General features: G+C 38.8%; 1 protein-coding gene across 6 annotated transcripts in view; it reads right to left on the minus strand.

Moving 5' to 3' along the window:
* Nucleotides 1-25529, minus strand: part of PPP2R2B (protein phosphatase 2 regulatory subunit Bbeta) — a 500779-nt gene that overhangs the window by 343257 nt on the left and 131993 nt on the right. The gene's annotated exons all lie outside the window — the stretch shown is intronic.

The following is a 25529-nucleotide window of genomic DNA, read 5'->3' on the forward strand; positions in this document are numbered from 1 at the left end:
CTCATAAGTGGGAGCTAAATGATGAAAACATATGGACACATAGAGGGGAACAACACACACTGGGGCCTTTTGGAGGATGAAGGGTGGAAGGAGGGAGAGGATCAGGAAAAATAACTAATGGGTACTAGGCTTAATGCCTGGGAGATGAAATAATCTGTACAACAAATCCCCATGACACAAGTTTATCTATGTAACAAACCTGCACTTGTACCTGTGAACTTAAAATAAAAGTTAAAGAAAATATCAGCTACTTAGATAATGATGTTCTTCTCTGACACCCCTGTGCTGTCTTTGCTTACAAGGACAACTGCAACTGAAAAGCACAAAGTCAGCACAAATAAGAGAATTACAGGTTTCAATGCAAAACCATCTTCACCAAAGTATAATGGTAGCTGCCTGAAGTTGAAGTAACAGCTTGGATCTGGTCTCTTGGACTTCTGATTGTGAAGGATGGGCCCTTCCCAAGTACTGGAGATTTTAAGTACAAGGATAAGAAAGGACAGGACAACAGGAGTCACCAAAGGGGGTTATCCAGAGAGTGAGAAAATGGGATACAGTAGCCTCTTGCTTTTTATTAGGGCCAGCTTCATAGATGAACAACTTGTGCAGTCACACAGGACCCTGTGGTCAGAAGGGCCTCCTTGTTTAGGTTTATGATCTGCTTTCACCATCCTGAAATTTGAAATACTTTTTGAATAAGGGACCATAACTTTTCATTTTGCTTTGTGTCCAGAATTATGTAGGCCATCCTGCTTGTTATAGATTTTTATTTCCCTCTTTACTAAAAATCACAAGGAGCAAAAAGAATGTGTTAGTTTGCTGAGAATGATGGTTTCCAGCTTCATCCATGTCCCTGCAAAGGACATCAACTCATCCTTTTTTATGGCTGCATAGTATTCCACGGTGTATATGTGCTACATTTTCTTTATCCAGTCTATCACTGATGGGCATTTGGGTTGGTTCACCATATGCGTTTTAATGTATCATGATCTTCTTTTGGTTAACAGTAATTTAACTCCAGAAAATACAAGAAGTTTGCTCCAATATACTGCCATTCCCTCTTCCCTCCTTTGTGCTATTACTGTCCTATATATTAAATCTATACATGTTACAAACCCAACACTACAGTGTTAAAATTATTGTTTCACACAGTCCTATGTCTTTTAAAGAAATTGGGAAAAAGGAGAAAAAATATATTTTATGGAATCTTTTATACTAACATAGTTATCATTTACAGTGCTCTTCATTTTTTCCTGTGGATTTGTGCTATCATAGAGTACCATTTCCGGAAGGCCTTCCTTCCTTTGGTACATCTTTTAAAACAGGGCTGCTAGCAATACATTTGCTCAGTCTCTGTTTATCCAAAAATGTCCTTATTTTGCCCTCATTTTTGAAGGATAGTTTTGTTAGATACAGAATTCTTGTTTGACATTATTTTCTTTTTGCAGTATGGATGTGCTATTCTTCTTCCTTCTGGCATCCATGGTTTTAGATGAGAAGCCAGCTTAATTGCATGGATGCTCACCTTTCTATGGTGCGTGCTATTCTTCTTGCTGCTTTCAAGATTTTCTCTTTGGATTTGGCATACAACAGTTTGACAATGATGTGTTCAAGTGTGGATCTATTTGTATTTATCCTGCTTGGGTTTCTTTGAGCTTCTTGGGTGTATAGATTAATTTTCTAAAAAATCAAATTTTGGAAGTTTTGGCCATTATTTTTTCAAATAGGTTTTCTGTCCCTTTCTCTTCTCTCCTTCCGACATTCCCCTGACATGGTTGTTTCTGTGCTTGAGCTTGTCCCACAGGTTTTTGAGGGCCTGTTAATTTTACTGCAGTCTGTTTTCTCACCATTCTCTAGATTGAGTAATTTCTATTGATTTATAGTTCACTGATTCCTTGTCTCTCAAATCTGTTGTTGAACTCTCTAGTGAAAAATTTTAAATTACCATTATTGTACCCTTCAGCTACAGAATTTTCACCTGGTATTTTTAAAATAAATTCAATATCCTTATTAAGAATCTATTTGTTGATCTCTTGTTACCCCACTTTTCTTTAATTCTTTAAACATGGCTTGCTTTAGTTCTTTGGAAATATTTATAATAGCTGCCTTGAAATTTTTGTCCACGAATATTTGGTAACACAGAGTTTCTATTAACTGTTTTTCTTTTCTTGAGTATGGGTAACACTTTTTTTTCTTAAAAATGGGACATTTAAGATAACACATTGCAACGACTCTGAATTCTGATATTTTTTTTCCCTTTATGGTGGTTGTTGCTGGTATTTTGTTTGTAACTTTCCTGGACTAAATCTGTGAAATCTGTTTCCCCTAGGCTACTAATGCCTATGCTAGTCTAAAATATATATACATTCCTGATTTTATTTATTTATTTATTTATTTACTTTTTTTTTGTTTTCGAGACGGAGTCTTGCTGTGTCACCCAGGCAGTGCAGTGGTGCAATGTCAGCTCACTGCAAGCTCCGCCTCTCGGGTTTATGCCATTCTCCTGCCTCAGCCTCCTGAGTAGCTGGGACCACAGGCTCCGATTTTATTTTTAAACTTGGCTTGCTAGAGGTTGCTCCTGTGTCTGTATAGCCTTAGTGGTCAGCTAATGATTGAACATCATTTATGTTCAAACACCTTAAACCACTAAGATTTCCATCCTTTGCCCTTTTTCACCTATTTTCAGGTAGAGGAGCATATACAAAGTTCAGGCTCTTTTCAAGCTCCCCTGAGTCTGATATCTGCTGGACCTTTTTGAGTCTCCTATGCACATGCATTGAGACTTTGGGTAAACCAGAAGCATATAAAGGGCTTCTGTCTCTTCAGTCTCCACTGCCCATATGCACAGCCTCAGCCAGCAATATGCTGTCTCTGATCACAACTGCAACTTCAGGCTGATGGAGCTGATGGCCCTCCCAACTCACTCCCATCCAAGATGATCATTTCTATTGACAACTTTGCTTGGTGTCTGCACTGCCCAGCTCTTCAAACTGGTTGAGTCTCCTTCAACATCTACAGAGAAGCTACTGGTCATCATGGCTTGCTGTACCTTGGCAGAACCTATAGGCTGGGTTGAGGTGGATGAGAGGAGCCCTAGGTCAGAACATCTCAGATTCCCAGTGTTCCTGAGTGATGTCCCATGATTTTTAAAAAATAAACACGTCTCAGGTTGTCATAGGCCTTTGGCTGATTTCCAGAGCACAAATAGTTGAAGTTTCCAACTTTGCACAGCTCTATCATTGCATTTTGGGAAGAGGATTTACCCAACCTCCTCCTAGAGTCATAGCTAAAAGTCCACTCTTTGCCTTGGGTTTTGACTCGTCTCTCTCTTCTTCCTTCATTTTCCCCTTTCACACACTTAAGTCCAACACTTGCTAGTGGCTCTAGAGCAATAAAATCTTTCTTGCACATATAAGATAACTTCAGCAACAGATTATATAGTACTATTGATATAAACCACGCAGATTAACTTGCGGCAAGTAAAAGCATTCAGTGAACTCTCTAAACACCGCTTGCCATCTATCCTTAGGCTTGTGGCCTTTCCTGCAGGCAAGGAGTGGTGGATATCTGATGCTGCCTGCATGCTGTTACACCTGTCACAACTCTAGCACACATCACTAAATGACTGCAACTTTCTTCCCCACTAACCCTAGACATGGTCTCAGAATCTTCCTCAGACAGAACTCCAGGCAGCCATTATATGGATCAGAAGATGAGACCTTGTAGCCATACTTTCTTCTTTTTTTTTTTTTTTAGATGGAGTCTCACTCTGTCACCCAGGCTGGAGTGCAGTGGTGTGATCTCGGCTGACTGCAACCTCTGCCTCCTGGGTTCAAGCGATTCTCCTGCCTACTCTCTCCTGTTCCCTGAGTAGCCGGGATTACAGGCACCTGCCACCATGCCTGGCTAATTTTTGTATTTTTAGTAGAGACGGGGTTTCACCATGTTGGCCAGGCTGGTCTCCAACTCCTGACCTCGTGATCCACCCGCCTTGGCCTCCCAAAGTGCTGGGATTACAGGCCTGAGCCACCACACCTGACCACCTTCAAGTCCCCAAAGCTGAAATGTATAATTCATCGCACTATCTGCTGTGCTTCCACATATCAGTCAAGGCTTGGGGTTGGTTTCCTGAGGAACATGTCTTTTTTTACTTGTGCCTCAAGCTCAGCTCCTGTGACAGTTTTTCTTCTGAACCTTTGCACTTATTCCTTTGGTGATTTCATCGATTTTCATGATTTTAAATCCCATCCATTTATTGGCCCTTTTTAGGTTTATATATATATTTTTTTAGATCAGATCTCTCCCCCAAACTCCAACTCTCTACATGCCATCTCCACTTGGAAATCTAAAGGACACCTCTAAGTCACCATACCCAAAACTGAACTGTTCCCACCTGGGGCCTCTTCCACCTATAGGCTTTTTCCATCTTGATTGATATTAATTTATCTGCTCAGATGCTCAGACCAAAAAAAAAATCAAGTTATTCTTAATTCTCTTCATTCTCTCTCATACCATCAGGAAATTCTGCTGGTTTTACTTTAAAAATGAATCAGAACCCTGTGCCTTCTTACCACGGTCACTGCTACCATCCTAGTCTGAGAAATACCATCTTTCACAGGACTATTGCAACTGGTTTTACTACTTCTAACTTTGATCTCTCATATTCCATACTCAACATGGCACCCAGAGTGATCCTTAAACCCTGGTATACTATACTCAGCATCGTAGCCAGAAAGATCATTTTGAAAAATGAAGCTGATCATATCAGTTTTCTACTCAAAACATTCTGGTGGCTTCCCATTTTGCTTAGGGAAAAAGCCAAAGGCTTTTCAGTGACTTACAATACTCTTCATAGTCTGTCTTGCCACCTTCTTCAATTCACTCATCTTTCACTACACTGCCTCTTACTCCTTTCCAGCCTTGCTGGCATCCTTAATGCTTCCGGAAAACATGATACTGGCTTTTTGGAGCCTTTGCATTGGCTATTTTCTTTTCCTGAAATCCTCTTTCTTCAAATATCCAAGTGACTAATTCTCTCACTTCCTTCAAGTCTTTGCTCAGATATCACCTTCTCAATGACGCCCACCCTGTATTTATAATTGCAAACCCTATCCTTCCCATCTGTGTGTCCCCACTGCCCGCCTACCTCTCTCTTCTTCCACATCCCTCTCACTCATTCCCACATTTCTGTTCTTTTCACAGCATATTACTTTCTACTATATGATTTACTTATTTCCTATCCTTAATGTTTGTCATCTGTCTCCTCCTTCTCTAGAACGTAACTCAAAATGGGTGGGGACTTTTGTTCAGTGACATATCATTTCACAGTTTCTAGAAATGTGCCTGGCATGTAATAGACATTCAAAAAACATCTGTTGAACGAACAAGTCAGCAGTGGTTCTATGGTTCTGATATAGTTTTAGAAAACATGCACCAAATGTGAGAACACTTTCCAAAGAAATGTCAGGAGGAGCATAGGTAAAAGAAATGTCAATAGACTCCATGAAAAAGAAGAGTCCATGGCAAAAAGAAAAAAAGAAAAAAATTGATTGGGAAATGATGGATATAATATACTTATCTTGGTCAATCATGGGGTACATTAGCATAGTAAAAGTTATGAGAAGTCCTACAGGAAAAAAATGGGCTTAATTTTATTATTTAAAAAAAGAATTCAACACAAGCTCAAACTTCAAAAAAAAGATCTCTATATTACATTGTATAAATAAAATAAGCAGCAGTTTTGCGTGTGGGCTCTGGAGATAGACTACTAGGGTTTATATCTTGGCTTGCCATTTACAAGAGTTATTTGATATCTCTAAGCCTCTGCTCTTTTATCTGTAAAATAAGGTAGTATGTATATTACAGGTTTGGGGTTAGAATTAAGATAATATAAGTAAAGAGGGCCTAATACATAGTAAGAACTCCCACAATTTTACAAATTAAACAATGATATAAATGCCTGTGATCTGCCAGTTATTATCCTTGATTCTGGGGATACAGATTAGAAATCGGTCCCTGGTCTCACAGAATTTATGTTCTGTAGGCAGAAGACAGACTAGAAACGCATAAACCAATAGATGAACATTTTCTGATAGTGGCACTATTATGAAGAAAATAAATCAGGGTTATGTGATAGAAAGAGTGGAATGGAGGGCCGCTTTAGATTGAATAGTCCAGAAGGATTTTCAGAGGAGTGGTTGCTTATACTGAGAGCTGGTCAGTGAGGATCCAGTCAAGCAAGGGTCTCTCTGGAGGGACAGCAGCACAGGCAGAAGGAACAACAAGGACAGATGTGTCAAGGGAGGAATAAGCTTGGCTTGCTCAGGATTAGATAAAAAGTCCATGTGGCTGGTCATGTGGAGTGCTGGAGAAAAATAGCATTTTTTGTAGCTCTAAATAACACTAACCCCTCTGGGTCTTTATTTGTGGGATGACTTTTCAATTTATAATTCTTTCTTGGGGGAAAGAAGAGAGGCCCTGGAGGGATTGTGGCAATGGCCCAGTGGTCTGGATGGGAAGAGAGAGGCAATGATCACAGTTCTACAATTCAGGGAGAATTGACTAGCCTGTTTTGAACAGGCTTCCCAGGTTAAGGTGGTAATCTTTTCTCTCCACCATTCACAAAAAGGGCAGTGGGGTTAGGTGGACATGAAGTGTCAACTCAGAGGATAAGGGAATATGAATTAAAAATGCAGAAGAAAAAGCTTGTACCTGGGACTCATTGACATTGTGGTTTCTCTTGAACCCTGATGCTCTCATTCTTGTTGAAGCCTAAGCTCATTTCTCTTTGTCGATATTAGAATTTTATGTCTAAAATTTCTTTTTTATGTATTCTCATTCCACCTTTCTCTTTTTGGAATGCAGAGACTAGTCTCTTGGAAATAGCTAAACATCCAGGAGAATGCTTAGCAAATACCACATGGTATTACTTTTAACTTGCAAAAGCTTAATTGCTCACCATATTATAATAAAGATCCCCTCACGTGTCCAGTGAATGTAAATTCTCACTGGTGTTCCAGCTAGTTGCCTGAATATTTTGTTTGCTATTGTGCCAAAGATAATTTTTTTTTTAGTGCTCTTCTATACTCTATAGTTCTATACTCTATACTTCTATAGTTGAGCTCTTCTATGCTCAACTATAGTTGAAAGGAGGAGAAAGTGATATCTCTGTAACGCAAGCCAGAACCTTCCGCAATAATACATTGGCAAGTGGTAATGTGATGAAAATGTTTTAGGTTTAAGATGTTTCCCATCTTAGTGTTTCTGAGTGCAGATCCAATCTGCTTGTTATTCTTCTGCTACACAATGGGAAATGGAGGTAAGAAGATTGCTGACCTCCCTGCAGCTTTGAGACAAAATTTCTTGACTGCTAGCTCACAATAGGCCTTCTTGGAACTGTCCGGAAATAGCACCCTCTCTCAATAATCTCTTCTTTCTAAATGGGCAGTGCTGTTTTGATCAACTTAACCCCAGTCAAGGGTACCCTATAGCACCAATTCAAAGATTCAAGGGTTGACTGTTTGCTTATCGAGATTTACTCAGATGTCATCTTCCTTCCTTCTTGGCTTTTGAGGCATTTCATTATTCCTAGCAACTCTAGTCGAGGGTAAACAAGAGGCACTGGGAATAAAATTGAAGTCACTTTTAGCTTCTTATTAGCAGGTATGGGAAAAACCTGGGGATAAGTTGGGTGGGTGGTAGAAAGGACTGAAATTGTCCAAAGTGAGGTTTGAGAAATATCTATGTGTTCTAATTAGCCCCACCTTAGCTTTTTCTTTCCATAACATAGTTTACAGTGAGTTGACTATAAATGGAAAACACTTCTTAATTCTCTTAACAATTAATAAAGAAGTTACTTTCCTATATAATGTAGAAGACTAATTTAAAAGAGAATTGTGTGTGAGTGCACGCATGGCATATGTGTGGATGCATGCACATGTGTGAGTGAATGGATTCCCCCAACCTCCAGCAGCATATCCATGTCTGGTCATCAGCAATAATCTGAAATATTTCCTGTTATTCTTCCTGAAACACCAGGAGAATTTCAAACTCTTTGAACCTTCCTTAGTATGTTTGAACTGAATCGTTTAGATTGGCCCACCCATTCATTCAGTAACTATTTACAAACATCACTCCCTTTTATTTGTTTGTTTTCCTTAAATTAGGTCAAAGTCATCTCCAGGGAACTGGGATTCTTGAATTCAAGGCCTATTGTATTTAAGGTTTATCAAGGTATCAGCCTGTCCCTCAGCTTTCTATCCTGGTTTGAAAGGATAATTTGAATTACCAAAGATATTAAATTGATATGGTTTGGCTGTGTCCCCACCCAAATCTCATCTTGAATGGTAGTTCCCATAATCCCCACATGTCGTGGGAGGGTCCCAGTGGGAGGTAATTAAATCATGGGTGTGGTTACCCCTATACTGCTGTTCTTGTGATAGTGAGTTCTCAGGAGGTCTCATGGTTTTAAAAGGAGCTTTTCCCCTTTTTGCTTGGCACTTTTTCTTGTCTGCTGCCACGTAAGACAGGCCTTTGCTTCTCCTTTGCCTTCTGCCATGACTGTGAGGCCTCCCCAGCCATGTGGAACTGTGAGTCCACTAAACTTCTTTCCTTTATAAATTATATTTCCTTTACAAAGTGTTGGGTATGTCTTTATTAGCAGCATGAGAACAGACTAACAAACAGATCTTTGGACAATAGATTCCATGAAGAGACTGAAGACTCTAGTGGCCCAGGTGGCTGAATCTTCTCCTAGCTTTCTTCTTCTTTATATACATCCCATTTGTGATCATGATAAACAAGGTCAAAGAGCAGTGAGAAAAGGAAAACTAACCACCTAGTATATGCAGAGAGATATCAAATGCTGAAGTAGATCAAGAAGACTTCCTTGAGCAAGGGGGCAGAGGAGAAAGCTATATCTAGCAGAGATATTACAGCTGTGGAGGTATCAAAGAAGCTTTGAGAATCTGGAAGGACAGCCCAGGAAACTGTTTCTTTACCTGTACCAGCACTAAGCATGCTAAAATATTCACGTGGGAATTATATCATATGCTGTTTTAATTAAAGCTGGTTGTATTCAACCTTGGAATTGTAACTAATTCTGTTTGCTCTTTGAGAAATTCTTATATATATTTTTAATATCCTTTGCTTCAGCAGCTGAGATTTCAAGTAACAGGGATTGGAAAATAATCCCATGTGTTTCCAACCAGATGAATTTTTTGGTTGTAAAGTTATTTCCTAAGATTTTTTTTCAATTAACATATTAGATCCTTGAGGAATATCCTGGATAAACGCCCAAGTTGCTCTTTGGTTAAGTAGAATAGCACAAAGTCTGTATCCAGGGAACCCAATCCTCTGATTACAGAGCAGGTCAAAGCTGCACCTTAATTATTTCTTTAAAAAATCAAAAGATTTTGAAAATGATTATTAGGGAGTTTTTATTCCCATTCTCTCTCAGATAAGTATTTTGTCTATGACACCTGATTCTTGAGAAAAAAACAAGAGAAAAAAATAAAACCTATTATCAACCACACTTGGGATACCATTAAGGGCCACCTCACTTTATTCTGAAATTTCTACTTCAGGGAGATTACCAAGCTTCCAGAGAGAAGCAAAATGAGACCCATTTAAGAACATGTGACCTATCGTGACAAACGGAAGTTCTTTTTTTTTTTTAAGTTTTTTTTTTCTTTTATTATTATACTTTAAGTTTTAGGGTACATGTGCACATTGTGCAGGTTCGTTACATATGTATACATGTGCCATGCTGGTGCACTGCACCCACTAACTTGTCATCTAGCATTAGGTGTATCTCCCAATGCTATCCCTCCCCCTCCCCCCACCCCACAACAGTCCCCAGAGTGTGATGTTCCCCTTCCTGTGTCCATGTGGTCTCATTGTTCAATTCCCACCTATGAGTGAGAACATGCGGTGTTTGGTTTTTTGTTCTTGTGATAGTTTACTGAGAATGATGATTTCCAATTTCATCCATGTCACTACAAAGGACATGAACTCATCGTTTTTTATGGCTGCATAGTATTCCATGGTGTATATGTGCCACATTTTCTTAATCAAGTCTATCATTCTTGGACATTTGGGTTGGTTCCAAGTCTTTGCTATTGTGAATAATGCTGCAATAAATATATGTGTGCATGTGTCTTTATAGCAGCATGATTTACAGTCATTTGGGTATATACCCAGTAATGGGATGGCTGGGTCAAATGGTATTTCTAGTTCTAGATCCCTGAGGAATCGCCACACTGACTTCCACAATGGTTGAACTAGTTTACAGTCCCACCAACAGTGTAAAAGTGTTCCTATTTCTCCACATCCTCTCCAGCACCTGTTGTTTCCTGACTTTTTAATGATTGCCATTCTAACTGGTGTGAGATGATATCTCATTGTGGTTTTGATTTGCATTTCTCTGATGGCCAGTGATGATAAGCATTTTTTCATGTGTTTTTTGGCTGCATAAATGTCTTCTTTTGAGAAGTGTCTGTTCATGTCCTTCGCCCACTTTTTGATGGGGTTGGACAAACGGAAGTTCTGAGGTGTCCTAGAGTTAGAAGAGGTAGTTTTTCATAAGAAAAAAAAAAAAAAAAAAAAAAAAAAAAAGAACGTGTTTGGTGCCTGGGGAGACTTTGGCCTCAACAAATATACCTGTAGCTTTTCTAGGTTTAGCTGTAGCCTAAAATTTAAAACTAAATATTTGAAAGTTGCATCCAATTTCCTCAAAGCTGAAAGAGAAATCAGAGACCAAACTCTTTTTTTTTTTGATTGAAAGGTGTTGCTGAGGTGAACAAGGACTATTATTCTAACAACATAGAGCACGTTCTTCCAGATCACCAGCTGATAATGTCTGTAAATAAGGAGGGGTAATCTGAATGTAGAATGATGGAGAAGATAGAATTTGCCTTTGGTATGGAAAAAAAGATGGGAAATTATCACTTTTCTACTGCAAAGCATTCATACTCCATCAGTTACCATTGATTAATTTATGCATTTATTTATTTTCCCTACAATTATGTATTGAACTTATATTAGTTTCTAGGCATTGAAGATTCAACAGTAAATCAGACAGACTTAGATCCAGTCCTCAAAGTACTTAAAATCTATCTGTGCCTCTCAAAATTCATATGTTGAAATCCTAACCTGCAAGGTGATGATATTACGAACTGGGGCCTTTGAGAGGTGACTAGATCATGAGGGCAGAGCCCTCACAAATGGAATTAGTGCCATTATGTAATAGGCTCCAGATAGATCCTCATTCCTTCCATCATGTGAGGTACAGCTAGAAGGCACTGTCTATGAGCCAGAACACAGGCCCTCACCAGACTCCAAGTTTACCAGCACTTTAACCTTGGACTTTCCAGCTTCCAGAACTAGGGGAAATAAATTTTTGTTGTTTATAAGGTACTCAGCTTATGATATTTTATTATAGCTGCCTGAATGGACTATGACACTGTCTAATGAAGGACACAGACAATGATCTAAGAGTAATTATGCCATGTAATCCATGCCAATATGGGGGAATGCCAAGTAGCTCTGGGAGCACTTAGCAAGGCCACCCAGCAATATGTGGGGATGGTGGTAGGCTGTCAGGAAATATATTCCCTGAAGTGGCATTTTATCTGAGGCCTGAAAGTGTGAGCCAGGTAAAGGAGGATTGAAAGTAAAGAGGGCAAGAAAAGAGAAAAAAAGTTCTCATAGTATGTTGGAGAAACTAAAAGAAGTTTGATATGTCTTCAGTGTAAAGTTTGGAAAAGGGTAGTAGAAAACATGGCTAGAGGAGGGAGCATGTCTTAAAGCTGTGCCAATCTGAGACCTAACTTTTGAGGTCTGCATATGCTTGGACTCAGATAGAGCTGGGTTTGATTCCCAGTTCTCATCTTTCCCAGCAACTTAGGCAAGTTATGCCACTTCTAAGACTCATTTTCCTTATCTATATAATGGGGAATATACCTACTTCCTAGGATTGCTTGGAAAATTAAATGATGGAGCATATTTGTACCTGGCAGATTGGAGGTATTCAGTACATGGGAGCTACAGCTGTTGCTGTTACTACAGTCAAATAGAATGGCATTCCAACAAGGAATAATGTATCAGGAAAGTAAGCTCTGCTGCCATCAGTTTAGGCATCAGCAGAGCCACATATGTTGACATTTTGGGGTAGGGTAACTTCCTGATGTGTCTCAGTATCTTATCTTTTGAGAGTTTAGCCCTATCCTTTGTTTCAAGAAAGCAAAGATTTCCTGCTGTAAGCAGTGGAGTCATTTGATACAATCATTGTGCCCATCCATTATTACACTTTGTCCTGGTCATTCATGCTGCCTAAGAAGATGCCTAAATGATCATCCCACTCCCCCTCTGAGTGGGCATAAGAAGTAAATGAAATAAATTAATGCAGTGGTTGCTAATACCTATGTTACCTTCTTTTTGTTATCAGCATTAAGACTCCTTGTAAGCAGGAAAAGAAAAAAAAAAAAAACCCTAGACAGTTATGAAGGATGGTTTCTCAAAAAAAAAAAAAAGAAAAAACAAGACATGTCTATTGAGATTTTTACAGTCGTTTTGATTGCTTTTCACATCACTAGGCTCAAACAAACAGAACCTCTCTGTACAGAGAGATAGTAAGAGGACATGCACAAAGCACTAAAGCTCTCTCTGAGCCAAAAAAAGAAGCCTGTCATTTCATTTCGTTTAGCCCCTACGGCTGTGGGCTTGGTTTTTCTATGTTAATACTCTAACACACCTGTACTGAGAATTTACTCCTTGCCAGGTAACTGGGGATCATAGAAATAAAAGACATACTCTAAGCCCTCCCGAGGTCCTTGTTCTGTTGTGGGAGACAAACCAGTGAGCCAGGGTTTTTTTTTTTTTTTTTCTTCAATGCTGTCTAATGGACAGTCCCTGTACTAAATGCTTCATATACTTTATTAAAGTCCTCCAAATCATTCTTCGAACTAGACAGTATAAAATTCCATTTGTGGATAAAACAATTGAGATTTAAAAGTGGTTACTAGGCTAGGTGTGGTTGCTCACGTCTGTAATCCCAGCACTTTGGGAAGCCAAGGCGGGCGGATGACCTGAGGTCGGCAGTTCGAAATCAGCCTGGCTAACATGGTGAAACCCCGTCTCTACTAAAAATACAAAATTAGCTGGGCGTGGTGGCGCCTGCCTGTAATCCTAACTATTTGGGAGGCTGAAGCAGGAGAATCGATTGAACCAGGGAGGCAGAACTTGCAGTGAGCCGAGATCATACCATTGCACTCCAGCCTGGGTGACAGAGTGAGACTCCGTCTCAGAAAAAAAAAAAAAGGGGGGTTACTAGTAACTTCCCCACAGATAGATAGGTAGTAAGTGGCAGAGCTGGGATGGGGCCAGGGCAGTCTTGCTTTTGCACTTTATGTCACGCTACCTCCACACTCCTCACAGTCTGTCAGTGGGTTACTTTGATATGTGTTATTAAGGGGTTACTTAAATACTAAGTACTGTGGAAGAACTGTGGGTCCACAGAGAGGAGGGGCTTTTGACAGAAGGCAGAGAAAGAGAAAGATGGAGTCAGAACAACTTGCCAAGGGAGGTGGCCTCTGCTCTGAGATTTGAAGGCTGAGCAGGGGTTGGCCATGTAAAAGCGTGAGGAAAGGAGACATCCTTTGAGCTAGAGTGAGCCGCAGTTACACCTTCACGGAGGCTTAGAGAACAGGATGTCTTCAAGGAGCTGCAGGTCGCTCGGTACAGCTCTTGGTTATCTGCAACAATAGAGGGAATGTGTGGGACAGATGATCTGAAATTTATGTCTGTTTGGCTTCTGTATGTACAATGTTTTTATTTATTTATATTCTGCCTTGTTCCACAAAGGTTTTGAAAGAAAATTCATTACATGGTTTTTATGCAGTGACCTTCCTAATTAAGTTTTTCTCAGCACTGTCATGTTCGTCTTTGTATTCCCTGAGCCATATGCAGAGAGACTTGAACAAAAGTTGAATTGAATTTACATACTTTGAGCACTCTGTAAGCAGTTAGCAAGGGCAACTGGTCCCAGAAGCTTGTGGGTGGAAAGGAAAAATTTTACTGGGCCAAAACGTAAAATTGCTTAGATTGAGGTACCGTATTTCATGGATTCCAACACACTATTGATTATAGGGTATGCTGTTATTAAACTTGAAGTGCTATCAAAAAAGAAAAAATCCTGTTCATTAAATTATAGCACAATATAAACTCACTATCTATTGCAAGATGTACTCTGATTTCAGATATATTAAATGTGGAAAAAAATGTGTCTTTAAAGAGAAAATGCATGGTGATGATATTAACTCCCACCCCAAATGGTCAGAAATTCTAAAATGTACTGATTCCCTGGTTGACATGAGAGAAAATGAGAAGTCTTACACATTTCTGGATGGCAATTTGCCCAACAACCTAAGCCCAAAAGATTCTGCAAACTCTGACCTAGCAATTATATCTCTAAGTCTGTGGGTTCAGTTTTTCTATGTAAAAAATAATTAAAGTTAAAGAAATACTAATTTAAATTTAAAAAGTTACATTGCATTTTAAAAATCAGGTAATAAAGTATTTGTTATAAAATTACTCCTGTGAAAAAATATATTTACATTTCATGTTTACATAGGAATTAAAATCTTGAATGACATATCAAAATGTTGACAGAGATTGTCTGGATGAAGCAATTTTGGTTGATCATTTTTATGTTCTAATTTTTCAAAAATTGGAAAACTACTGGTTAGATAATAGCCTTTTTTTTTTTTTTTTTTTTTTTTTTTTTGGAGACAGAGTCTCCCTCTGTTGTCCAGGATGGAGTGATGGAGTGCATGGAGTGCAGTGGTGTGATCTCAGCTCACTGCAACCTCCACCTCCCAGGTTCAAGCGATTCTCCTGCCTCAGCCTCCTGAGTAGCTGGGACTACAGGCGCATGCTGCCACACCTGGCTAATTTTTTGTATTTTAGTAGAGACAGGGTTTCACCATGTTGCCCAGGCTGGTCTCGAACTCCTAAGCTCAGGCAATCAGATATGGGCCTTTAAGTAGACAATACACATGTGAATATTGGAAAATTAACTCCCTTGTCTTAGCAACTTTATTTTTTATGAAGTAGGCTCCTGAATCTTTCCTGTCTCATCAATGAGTCTGTCCAGGCTCCAGGTGGTTCCAACTGAGGCCCTGGTTAAAAGGGTGTGAAGATTATTTGATTCCCAATTGGAAATACAGCTTTATCACCTGGAATTTTCCCTTAAAAGTTGATACCTAAAAGGAGAAAATAAAAATAAATACTTCTACCTCAGGGTACCAGAGGGTCTGGGGAATGAGATCTTTATGATGTAATCTTAGTCTGAGGCAAACTGTGAGACCCTGAGCACATGCAAGTCACGTTCAAGGTCCTGCGAGTGGGAAAGAGGGTGATGAGCAGAAGTCAAGCTTAGGCTTCAACTTTTGCCATCGCTTAAATGGTAAATCCTCCATCTCTAAGAGTCACACTGCTACAAATTCACAACTTTTGTTTTGTAAGTCATTCATAATTCTTCATAAATGTTTTTTCTAAAAGACAAACTTTTTGGTGGCCTAGGCTCCACTTTAAGGGGAAAATGCAACACTGACTATATCTATTTATGAGGTGAACTGGACCTCCTGCTTCATAGAGGAAACATTTTTGAATGGTCAAACATAGTATTCCTGCTTGAATAGGAAAAATTGTAACAATGCATTTGGTATTTGTATTTTATCCCCAAATTAGTGAGTTGCCTTTTTGACATTTTTTTCAAGGTAGCTTTATATTTATGTATAGCTTGCTTTTAAAAAATAAGCTGTTCTTATACTTCCCAACATTATATACCTAACTGTTCCTTAATTTAAAGCTCAGCTCATGTACAAGTTTTATTTTGCAATCAAGTTTTATTTACTTGTTTATAGAGTTTGGCTTGTCATTGCTTTTTGTCAGCTCTGCAAGGTTTGAGCCATTTGTAATCTTTGAATATTTACATAGTATCTATCTACCTACACCTATTTTTTATATAATGTATGGCAGTTGTAACCTAAAAGAGTAAAACAAAGATTTCAAGTGCCATGGAAGTCTAGGTCAAGAAGAGATGAGTTAGCATTTGGTGAACAAAAGTATTCTAGTGGGCATCTACTGTCTGTCTTTCTTGCATCATTTTCTTCTTTCTCTGGATAGCAGAACTCCATGTTGATCTTTCCACTCCACTTTGTCTTAATAGAGCTACAAGTCTCAGAGCCCTGCCCTCCTGGCTGCAGATTCAGGCCTGGATGATTGAAGCGCCACATCTACTTGGCCAGGATAGTTGATTCAAATGTGAACATCTATTCCAAATCCAACAGAGAACTTCTCTGGAATATTTATATATGGACACAGAGAAAGGAGAATTTTTCTCCCTTTTTTGCTTTCATTTTGGATTGTGAGCCATAAGAATGCCAGTCAGGAGTTATACCTACTTGTTCTGGCCAGATGGAAGAAGTCCAGATGGAAGAACATTTGCTAGGGGAAAAAAAAAAAAACATAAGGCTACTGCCCAAGGAGAACATATCTAAAAAGGGAGCACAGTGACACATATTTAATGAGCCCTTAGAGACTGAATGCCACCTCTACCCTTTGATTTCCCAACAAAATCCCTTTTCCTTTTCTTCGTATAAACTTGATAGAATTGGGTTTCCGTCATTTGAAACTGCCCAAGTGCTTGACTAATCCTTGGCCCCTTAGTTATCTTCCAAATCACACTAGGTGCATACATATCCTCCCCATGCATCCACAGTTGTCTGTGTTCCACTGAATTCTCTATCATATGAGCATCCAAACAGGTATGATTTTATTAAATTAGTATCAGTGTAGTTACTCTAAAGAGAATATGAGTGATTTCAGCCTAGTATATTTTCCATAAGCCGTAGCCTTCTCCTGGAAGTATTCCTTGTTGAATAGTTCTTTGCCCTAGTGTTCAGACTTTAGTACTGGACTAGGACATTTGTCCACCGCTGGTGCATTTAGAGCCTCGATTTTACATTGCTGAAGACCTAGCACAATCAGAAGGAATGAGTTTCCTGGAGACTTGTCTTCTTTGTTCTCAAGATTACCAAAGGCCATTTTAGAAAGAAAATGATTATGAGGCTACATGAAATGCAATAAGATTTTATAGCAATCAAGCCTGACTTTGGAAGGCAGCTGGAAAACAGGACACTCCTCCTCCCACCCTTTCTTCTCCCCAACAAATGCCATATGTCTGTTCACAATGCATTCTGGCTAACTGCTATGTGGTTGACCTTCGATACTGAAAAAATACCAAAACACTTGGGACCTAATTTTCCTTTCAGCTCATTGTTATAGTCACATTTAATATGGTTGAGGGAAAACATGAAAATTATGACAAACCGGCCTGAAATTCTTTAAGGTAGTCCATCAATAAGACAGATCTCTGGATAATTCATAATACTTGTGATGGTTCAGAGAAGGAGGAGTCTTTGGGGCCCTTGAAAAATGATGCTTCTGTTGCTTAGGGGTGTGTTCAGAACCACATCAGCATTTATGTCATCTGTAGAAAAACTAAAAAACATTAGGTTGGTGCAATTACTTTTGTGCCCACCTGATAGAACCTTTCCACTTCCTTTTTCTATGAGCAATTAATTCAATTTCAGATTACTATATTGGATGCAGAACAGTTAATAGAGGAGTTTGCTAGTCCATGTGTGGCATAGCAGAATGAAGAGACTTTTTATTGCATCTGTATAGTAAATGAAATTTCCTCCCCAAATTAAAATAGCTTTTGTGTTGGTTTCTTAGGGCTGCCATAACAAAGTCACAAACTAGGTGTCTTAAATGACAGGCATTTATTCTTTCACAGTTCTGGGGACTAGAAGTCTGAAATCAAGGTGTTGGCAGGGGCAACCACCCTCTGAAACCTGTAGAGGAGAACCTTTTATTGCTTCTTCCAGCTTTTGGTGTTTGCTGCCAATCTTGGCATTCTTTGGCTTGTAGATGCCTCACTCCGGTCTCCGCCTCCCCAGTTGCATGGCCATCTTCTTCCTGAGTGTCTCTCTTATGAGTACAACAGTTATATTGGATCAGGGCCCACTCTAATTCAGAATGATCTCATTTTAACTTGATTTTTCAGATTACATGCGCAAAGACTCTTTTCAAATAAGATGACATTCTGAGGTGCTATGAGTTAGGACTTTAACATATTTTGGAGAGAACATGATTTAACCCTTAACAGCTAAATTGTTGCCTGATTGTAAAACTAATACAATTAGTGAAAAAGAGAGGTATAAAGAAGAAATTAAAAATCATCTAGATTCCTCCCACCAAAAATAACCATGTTAACAATTTGGTGGATGTCTTTTCAAATATTTCTCAAAACAAATGTTCTTTTCTTATACCGTCAGAAATAAGTCAAGTTCAAGGACAGAAGCAGTTGAAGATGTCTACAGTTTTGTGCAAATTATAACAAATGATGCTGTGATGTGTCTTTCTTCTTTCACTTTTTAGTTGCACTTGTGCAATTACTTCTTTAGGATAAATGCTTAGAAATACAATGTCTGTGTAGAAGAAAAATATGCATTTTTATACATATTATCAAGTTATACACTAGAAAGAATGGAGTAACTCCATTCCCACCAATAATGCATGAGAACTCCTGTTTCTCCCATCTTCTTTGTCCTTTAGATTACAAGTATTAGTATGATATATGTTAAAAACTTTAAATTTATGAATATTTCTATGTTCTCCTATGTGAAATTCTAAATCATGGCATTTCTTTATTCTTAGGTAATAAATGTGAATCCATAGTTTTTTTTTTTTTGAGATGGAGTCTCACTCTGTCACCCAGGCTGGAATGCAGTGGCATGATCTTGGCTCACTGCAAGCTCCACCTCCCAGGTTCACACCATTCTACTGCCTCAGTCTCCCGAGTAGCTGGGACTACAGGTGCCCGCCACCACGCCTGACTAATTTTTTTTGTACTTAGTAGAGACAGGGTTTCACCGTGTTAGCCAGGATGGTCTCGATCTCCTGAACTCGTGATCCGCCCACCTGGGCCTCCCAAAGTGCTGGGATTACAGGCGTGAACTACTACGCCCGGCCCAAATCCATAATTTTAATCTAGTATTTTCACACTTTGATAAATTTCTAATTCTGACCCATCCACACATGTTTTTAGTACAGGGTATGGAATTGCAATCCAGAGATTCTGATTGAACTGAGTTTTATTTCTTTATTAAGTCACTCAAAATTACATTGTTTGGGAATGTGAATGGGAAATTTAGTGTGTTTCCTGTTTGCCTTTCCAAGAGATCAGTTTCATTTAATCAAAGGCCTTGTACTAATTCACAGAAAAATGCATACTCAAAAAGTAATCAGGGACATAATGTTGAGCCATGGTAATAAGCAGTACTTTTAGCTTCAGTACTCATAGTTAATTGAATTTATCAACATTCTTGCTGTAACTAAACCCTTTTCTCTCCCATTCAGCCCATGAGGTTGTAAGAAAGTAAATGACATTACAGGGTTAATCTTGACTCCATTTTAATGTGTTTTCTTTAAATTGCAATCTTGGCACATTTGGGCCTTTTGATTATCAGTAGTTGAAATTACTTGCCAACCATCTTTCAACTCTTTAGAATGGACTTGATGTTAAGACCCCTGGTTTAGAGAGGCACTCATTTTTTTTTTTTATAGCAGAAAGGCATAAGCTCAGAGAGAAGTATTCTTTCCCCAGAGAAAATCTGTAAGGAGTTATATGAGAGGATCCAAATCCAGCTTACTGAAACAAGCACTGTTTTCAGATAAAATGAAGACAATATCCCTTCGTATCTCTTTCCGTGATCCTTCACATGGATTCACTATTGAGGAACACTTGCTCCCAAAATACGCCCTTCTTCACACTGGCCTTTTACTGCTAACTTTGTATTGGATTGGTGGGTGATTCTGTCTATTCTTTCAGCCTCATTGACATGTGTTCAAGGAGAGGCAGCCCCAACACCTTGTCTCAAGTGGATGACATTTCCTGTCAGTAACTTGCTATTTAGCTACAGAGACCAGCCTCCTCATCCTTATCTCTTTAAAGGAGTAAATGAATACAAATTAAAGTTTTAATCTCAGACTGTAACATCAATAGTATTTTCACTACAAGTAGTTCCATAATGGTCTCATTACTGCTCCTAAGTGCAATACGCTGAGACGTCTAAATTGCCGATTGCCACTACATATATTCTTTGAGAAAAGGTATCCAGGTAACCATGGCAATTGTGTCTCCAGGCAGGATGGGAGTGGGGTGGGAAACTATTTCATTAATTGAAGGGAAGAGATTGAAAAGAGATTTTCAAGCTTTAGATCAGAGAGAGAAAGAAAGAAAAGGTAGATCCCACAACCTTATTTTGTTTTCATTATTAGATTATGCAACCCAAGGAAACGCCAAACGATTTGAAAGGTTCAGAGAAATCACAAGATTAAATAACAGCAGCATTCTTAGCCTTTCCACATTATTACAGTGGTTGACCTGTACCAGATTTTCTTTGGCTGGGTTTTATATAGTTTGATTGAAATTCAATATATCTCCTGAGAAAGCAGAATTGTGTCCCATGATTTAAAGAGAAAAAAAAAGGAAGAATACTCACAGGAGCGGGAAGACTGTGTAGGTGGTATAAGAGCTCTATTTATTTCAAGTTGATAGCACCTGAAAAGGCTGATTTTATCAGTAAAATTCATTTGCAACCTTGCTTCCCTGCCCTTCCTCCACCCTTGGTAGTCCTCAACCTTTAAAACAATTTATTAAAGGTAAAGAAATACTGTGATGAAAAAAGGGCATCTAGATAATAGGGAAGAAGAAAACGAATGTCTGATCTGGTCTCTCAGAGGAGTCTAATAGTTTGTTTTCATTGAAAAGGTATGGCAAATTAGTGATTAGATCAGCTTCTGTTATTTAACCAAAGATGCCCTCTTGTAACTTACTGTGTTGACTCTTTGACAAATATGTTCTAACTTAAGATTTGCAAAACCCTCATTTACACAGATAGACAAACTGACTTCTAGTATACGTTAGCCATAGTTGGGGAATTATTTTTCAAATTAGGCCAACATACAGCACTTTAATGACCCATGTTAAATCTCTGTAACTCCTGATGAATACCTGCTTTGTACTTCCTACACACTATACTATCTAGTTAATTCAGGAAGAAAAATAGAAGACATTAGATGCAACTATTACCAAACAGGGTAGTGAGGACTTGGATATGTTCTTCAGGTTCCTTCCTCAAAATTTAAGTCCACTTTTCATCAATCACTGGGAGAGGCAATGTAGGAAAATTTATTTACAGAAATGAGGAAAGCAACCTAAAACTGGGTGGATAATTATTAACCAAATGGATTTTATTTTAAAACAAACATTTCTTTTCTGCCAAACAGATTTTTATCTTGGAAAGCAAATACTTTTCCAGAATTGGGCCAGAAATCATGGTCTGAATTGTAATAGTTGTTTGGGCACTGTCCAAGTCCGATATATTGACTACCTTGCTCCCCACTGCAACCCAGAGGCTTTTCGTAACAAGAAGCTAAAGTTGTGCTGCTATAGCAGCTGCTGATGATGTTTTTTAAGGGCTGTGTGCCCAGGGTGCACCCACTGGAGAGGCAATAGGAAATAAAAATAGCAATTTGTTTTCCTAAAGTTTAGAGGACAGTGGGGGAAAGCATTTTCAGCCTTGTCATCAGGGATAACATAGTTTTATATTGTGTGCACATAAGTCTAATTTTTGAAGACAGAAAATCATTGTGTAAGGCAATTCGATTTGAGAAAGAATGTTACTGATGGTATGCAAGAAGAACCATTGTTTCCAAGAATGAGCTGAGACACGTGTCAGATCTTTCTAATAGCCAGGTGTTACTATGGACCCCTGCCTAATGGTCAGTGTGTCGTCAGCTGCTGGCAACTCTTACCTTATAAAGACAAATATTGGGATTGTGCAGAGACTGAAGTGTGACCAGAGGCTGAGTGAGATTTGTTACATTTGGGCTATCGATTCTAATTCACAATTTAGTTTTTGAGCCAAGCCAGCCGTTAGTCATGTGGATTCTATAAAATGATTTATCTAAAATCTCTTTATCCCTGTGTTCCCTTTTAACGCTGTAGCCGCTTAAGCAACAGCTTTACACAAAAGGACATACAATTAGCTAGTAGCGAGTATAGCCCAACTACCCCTGTGCACACTTCAGCAATCAACTTGAAGCAGTACCAGATGAAGAGAGACAAGTCTTTTTTTCCCATCTTTCAAAGGTGGCTCTGATATCTGTCTTCCCCCTGTCCCCCCACCACTGCTTGGAGTATGATAGGACAACAGCAAGAGCTCACATGCCAAGTGATGCTTGAATTCATGGTAATTGCTCCTCCTTCCAAGTTCTGGGGTGTAAGTTAGAGTCTTTCATTGCAAGTTTCATTTTCAAAAGGCAGTGCAATCAATAGTGTTACTTTTCTGAGTCCCAAGTCTGTTGCTTAGTCTCAGCATCTCTGATGACTGTGGGTCTATTAGCATAAGCTAGAACTGTAAGTGGTGAATATTTTTATTATCTAAAATTACACTAGAACTGTTAGGCCGAAAGATTACAATTTGTCACTGAATGTGGATGTATGGAGAATTGTATGTAGAGTATATAAAATCTTTTCTATGTCTAATTTGCATTGCAAATTGAGAAGCTAACCAGAGGTCTTGAGGAAATAACATAAATAAAACATGGCTTCACTACTGTAAATGCTCAATTCATGCCAGAGGAGGCCGAAGCCATTACAGAAGGATTGTTTCCATCTAAACAATTCCCATCTCACACACTTCCCTTCTAAAGTGGCTGCCAATAGGACGGGAATTGGGTGGTTGGGGTAGGGGTGGGGGTATCCGTTTAGACAGCTTTAAAAAATACTCAGCAGAGAAAGCCTGAGAGGGTGTTTCTCAAGAAAGCCAAAGTCAAGGCTCAATCCTGCATCTTGTTTTATGTTGAACATCCTCACAACTGAAGGAAAGACAGCAACCTGCTCTTCAGTTTCAGCCCCAAGGAACCAGAGATCTACACAAGGTCAGTAATCAGACAAAGCTCATTACTAAACGTTTAGGGAAAAATTCCATAATATGAGGCAGATGCCTTGGTTAGTTTACAGACAACATTCAGGATCTCTCAAAATGTGAACTTCAACTTCAGTGGATATTTGTTATATTTCTGCACAGCATTTATGCTCTCTTCTTGTGACAACAGCACCCCAATTCTACTTTGGGGTCTATCTCTTCATTATTCTACCTGCATGTGCTTTGCGCCTACTTCATAATTTCCAAAGCCTGAATATGTGGTTTAGACATCTGTGCAGTCTGCCCTCTAGTGATTGGATCAGGATCAACAGGGACCAGCACGTGACTGAAATCTGGTCAATGAAATTCATTTCCTGTTTTTTCTGGAACTGTTGGAGAAGTGGACTGTCTCAGTCGCTGAGCTTGGTGCTTTGTGTAATGAGATGATTGAGGCTTGGAGCTGCAGCCAGAGAACAGAGCCAATGGGACAGAAGCCAAGTTGAGAGGCCAGAAGAAAGACACAAGGTGCCTAACTAAACATATGGTTTAAAGCCTTATATACCTGGGGCCAGCCCTATTTTGTGACTGCTTGATGAGGCAATACATTCTCTTGTTGCTCAAATCACTTAGACTTTCTGTGAGAGATCTAACGGCCATATGCACCTTTCTCACCACTGTCCTTTCACATCTCACCATCTACCACTTCCTTCTTTGGAGCCGCTGTAAGTGAACTTGGCTTAGCCATGCAACCCTGTGTTCTCATGAGTCCATGCTTTTGCTTATGCTACCACTTCATTAGGAATGCCCTTGCGTTCTCTTCTTTTCCTCAAGGCGAAATCCCACTAATCACCTTTCATGTTCAACCCAATCACCTTCTCTGTAAAGGGATTCCTAATGAAGTGGTAGCATAAGCAAAGGCATGCACTCATGAGACCACAGGGTTGTGTGGCTAAGCCAAGTTCTCTTCATTCATATTTTTCCCCTACTCCTCTCAAGGCAAAATTTAAAACTTGCCATGCTGTGTTCATATAATCGTTTCCCTTACCCTATAAACCCTTAACACTTTATGCAAATACTTTTTGAGACTGTCTGTCTCTCCCATGAGGCTTTAAGACTGGGGACTATGTTTATTCAACATTCAGAGGCAGGAAACATTGTTACGGGCATGAGCTGTCTTTGGATGCAGACTGCCTGGGTTTAAACACTGGCTCTGCTGCTTCCTAGGTGTTTGGCTTAAATATATTATCTACTCTGTCTGTGCCTTGGTTTCCTCATTTATACAACGAGGGATAATGTTAATACCTATTTGTCTTATAGGTTAGTTGGGAGGATGAAATGACTTAATGCATGTGAAGTCCTTGATACTGTTCCTGGAAGATGGTAAAATTTCAATAAATATTAGCTATTATTATTATATTTCTAGTTTCTAATAGTGCCTGATGTAGGTACACAAAAATATAAATGTAACAATGAAAAGAAGGCTTAAATTCTTTAAGTCTTATATATTAAGTAGAAAACAAAGGGAAAAAAAGAAATAACTTAATCTTTATAATTTTGTTTTCTTAAATTCATGTGTTCCTATGAGAAATCATGAATCATTAAAGGAAATTTGGCTGATTTGGGGAGATTTGTTCATATTCATTCATTTGGTGCAAAAACTTCTATTAAGAGGGCATTATGATTGGACTTGAGAGTTAAAATTAAGATAATATCCTTACTTTCAAGAGGCTCATGGTTTAGTAGATACATTTGACAGGTAAATAAGTAACTATAATTGAGTGAATGTGCAACAACAGAAGTATGCACACATACCATGAGGGCATAGAGTAATGTTTCCTGAAACTGCTGTACATAAGACTCATCTAAGGACTTTGCTAAAAATCACAGAATCTCAGAAAGGGCACCCATGGAGCTTCTGAAACACTGGGTTTGGGGTCATGTATCTGTACTTGTAACAGAACTTCATGGGTAATTCCTGGCATAAAAGACAGGATAATAACTTTTTGCCTGAATAGGTCAAGGAATGCTGCATGGTGAAGGTGATACATGTGCTAGGTACTTACAGATGATTAGGAGTTTGCTAACATTTGACATGAGTGGTACTATTAAGCTTCAAGAATAGTTTTTTTTTACAATCAACAAAGTGAAGAGACAACCAACATAATGGGAGAAAATATTTGCAAACTATCTATCCAACATGAGATTAATAACCAGAACATATAAGGAGCTCAAACAACTCAATGGGAAAAAAATCTAATAATTTGATTTTAAAAATTGACAAGAGTTCTGAATAGACATTTCTCCAAAGAAGACATACAAATGACAAATAGGCATATATAAAAGTGCTCAATGTCATTGATCATCTGAGAAATGCAAATCCAAACTACAATGAGATATCATCTCACCCCAGTTAAAATAAAAACCAGTTATAATGGTTTTTATCCAGACAGGCAATAACAAATGCCACTG

The sequence above is a fragment of the Homo sapiens genome, chromosome 5 (genome assembly GCF_000001405.40).
Source record: "Homo sapiens chromosome 5, GRCh38.p14 Primary Assembly".
NCBI lineage: Eukaryota > Metazoa > Chordata > Mammalia > Primates > Hominidae > Homo > Homo sapiens.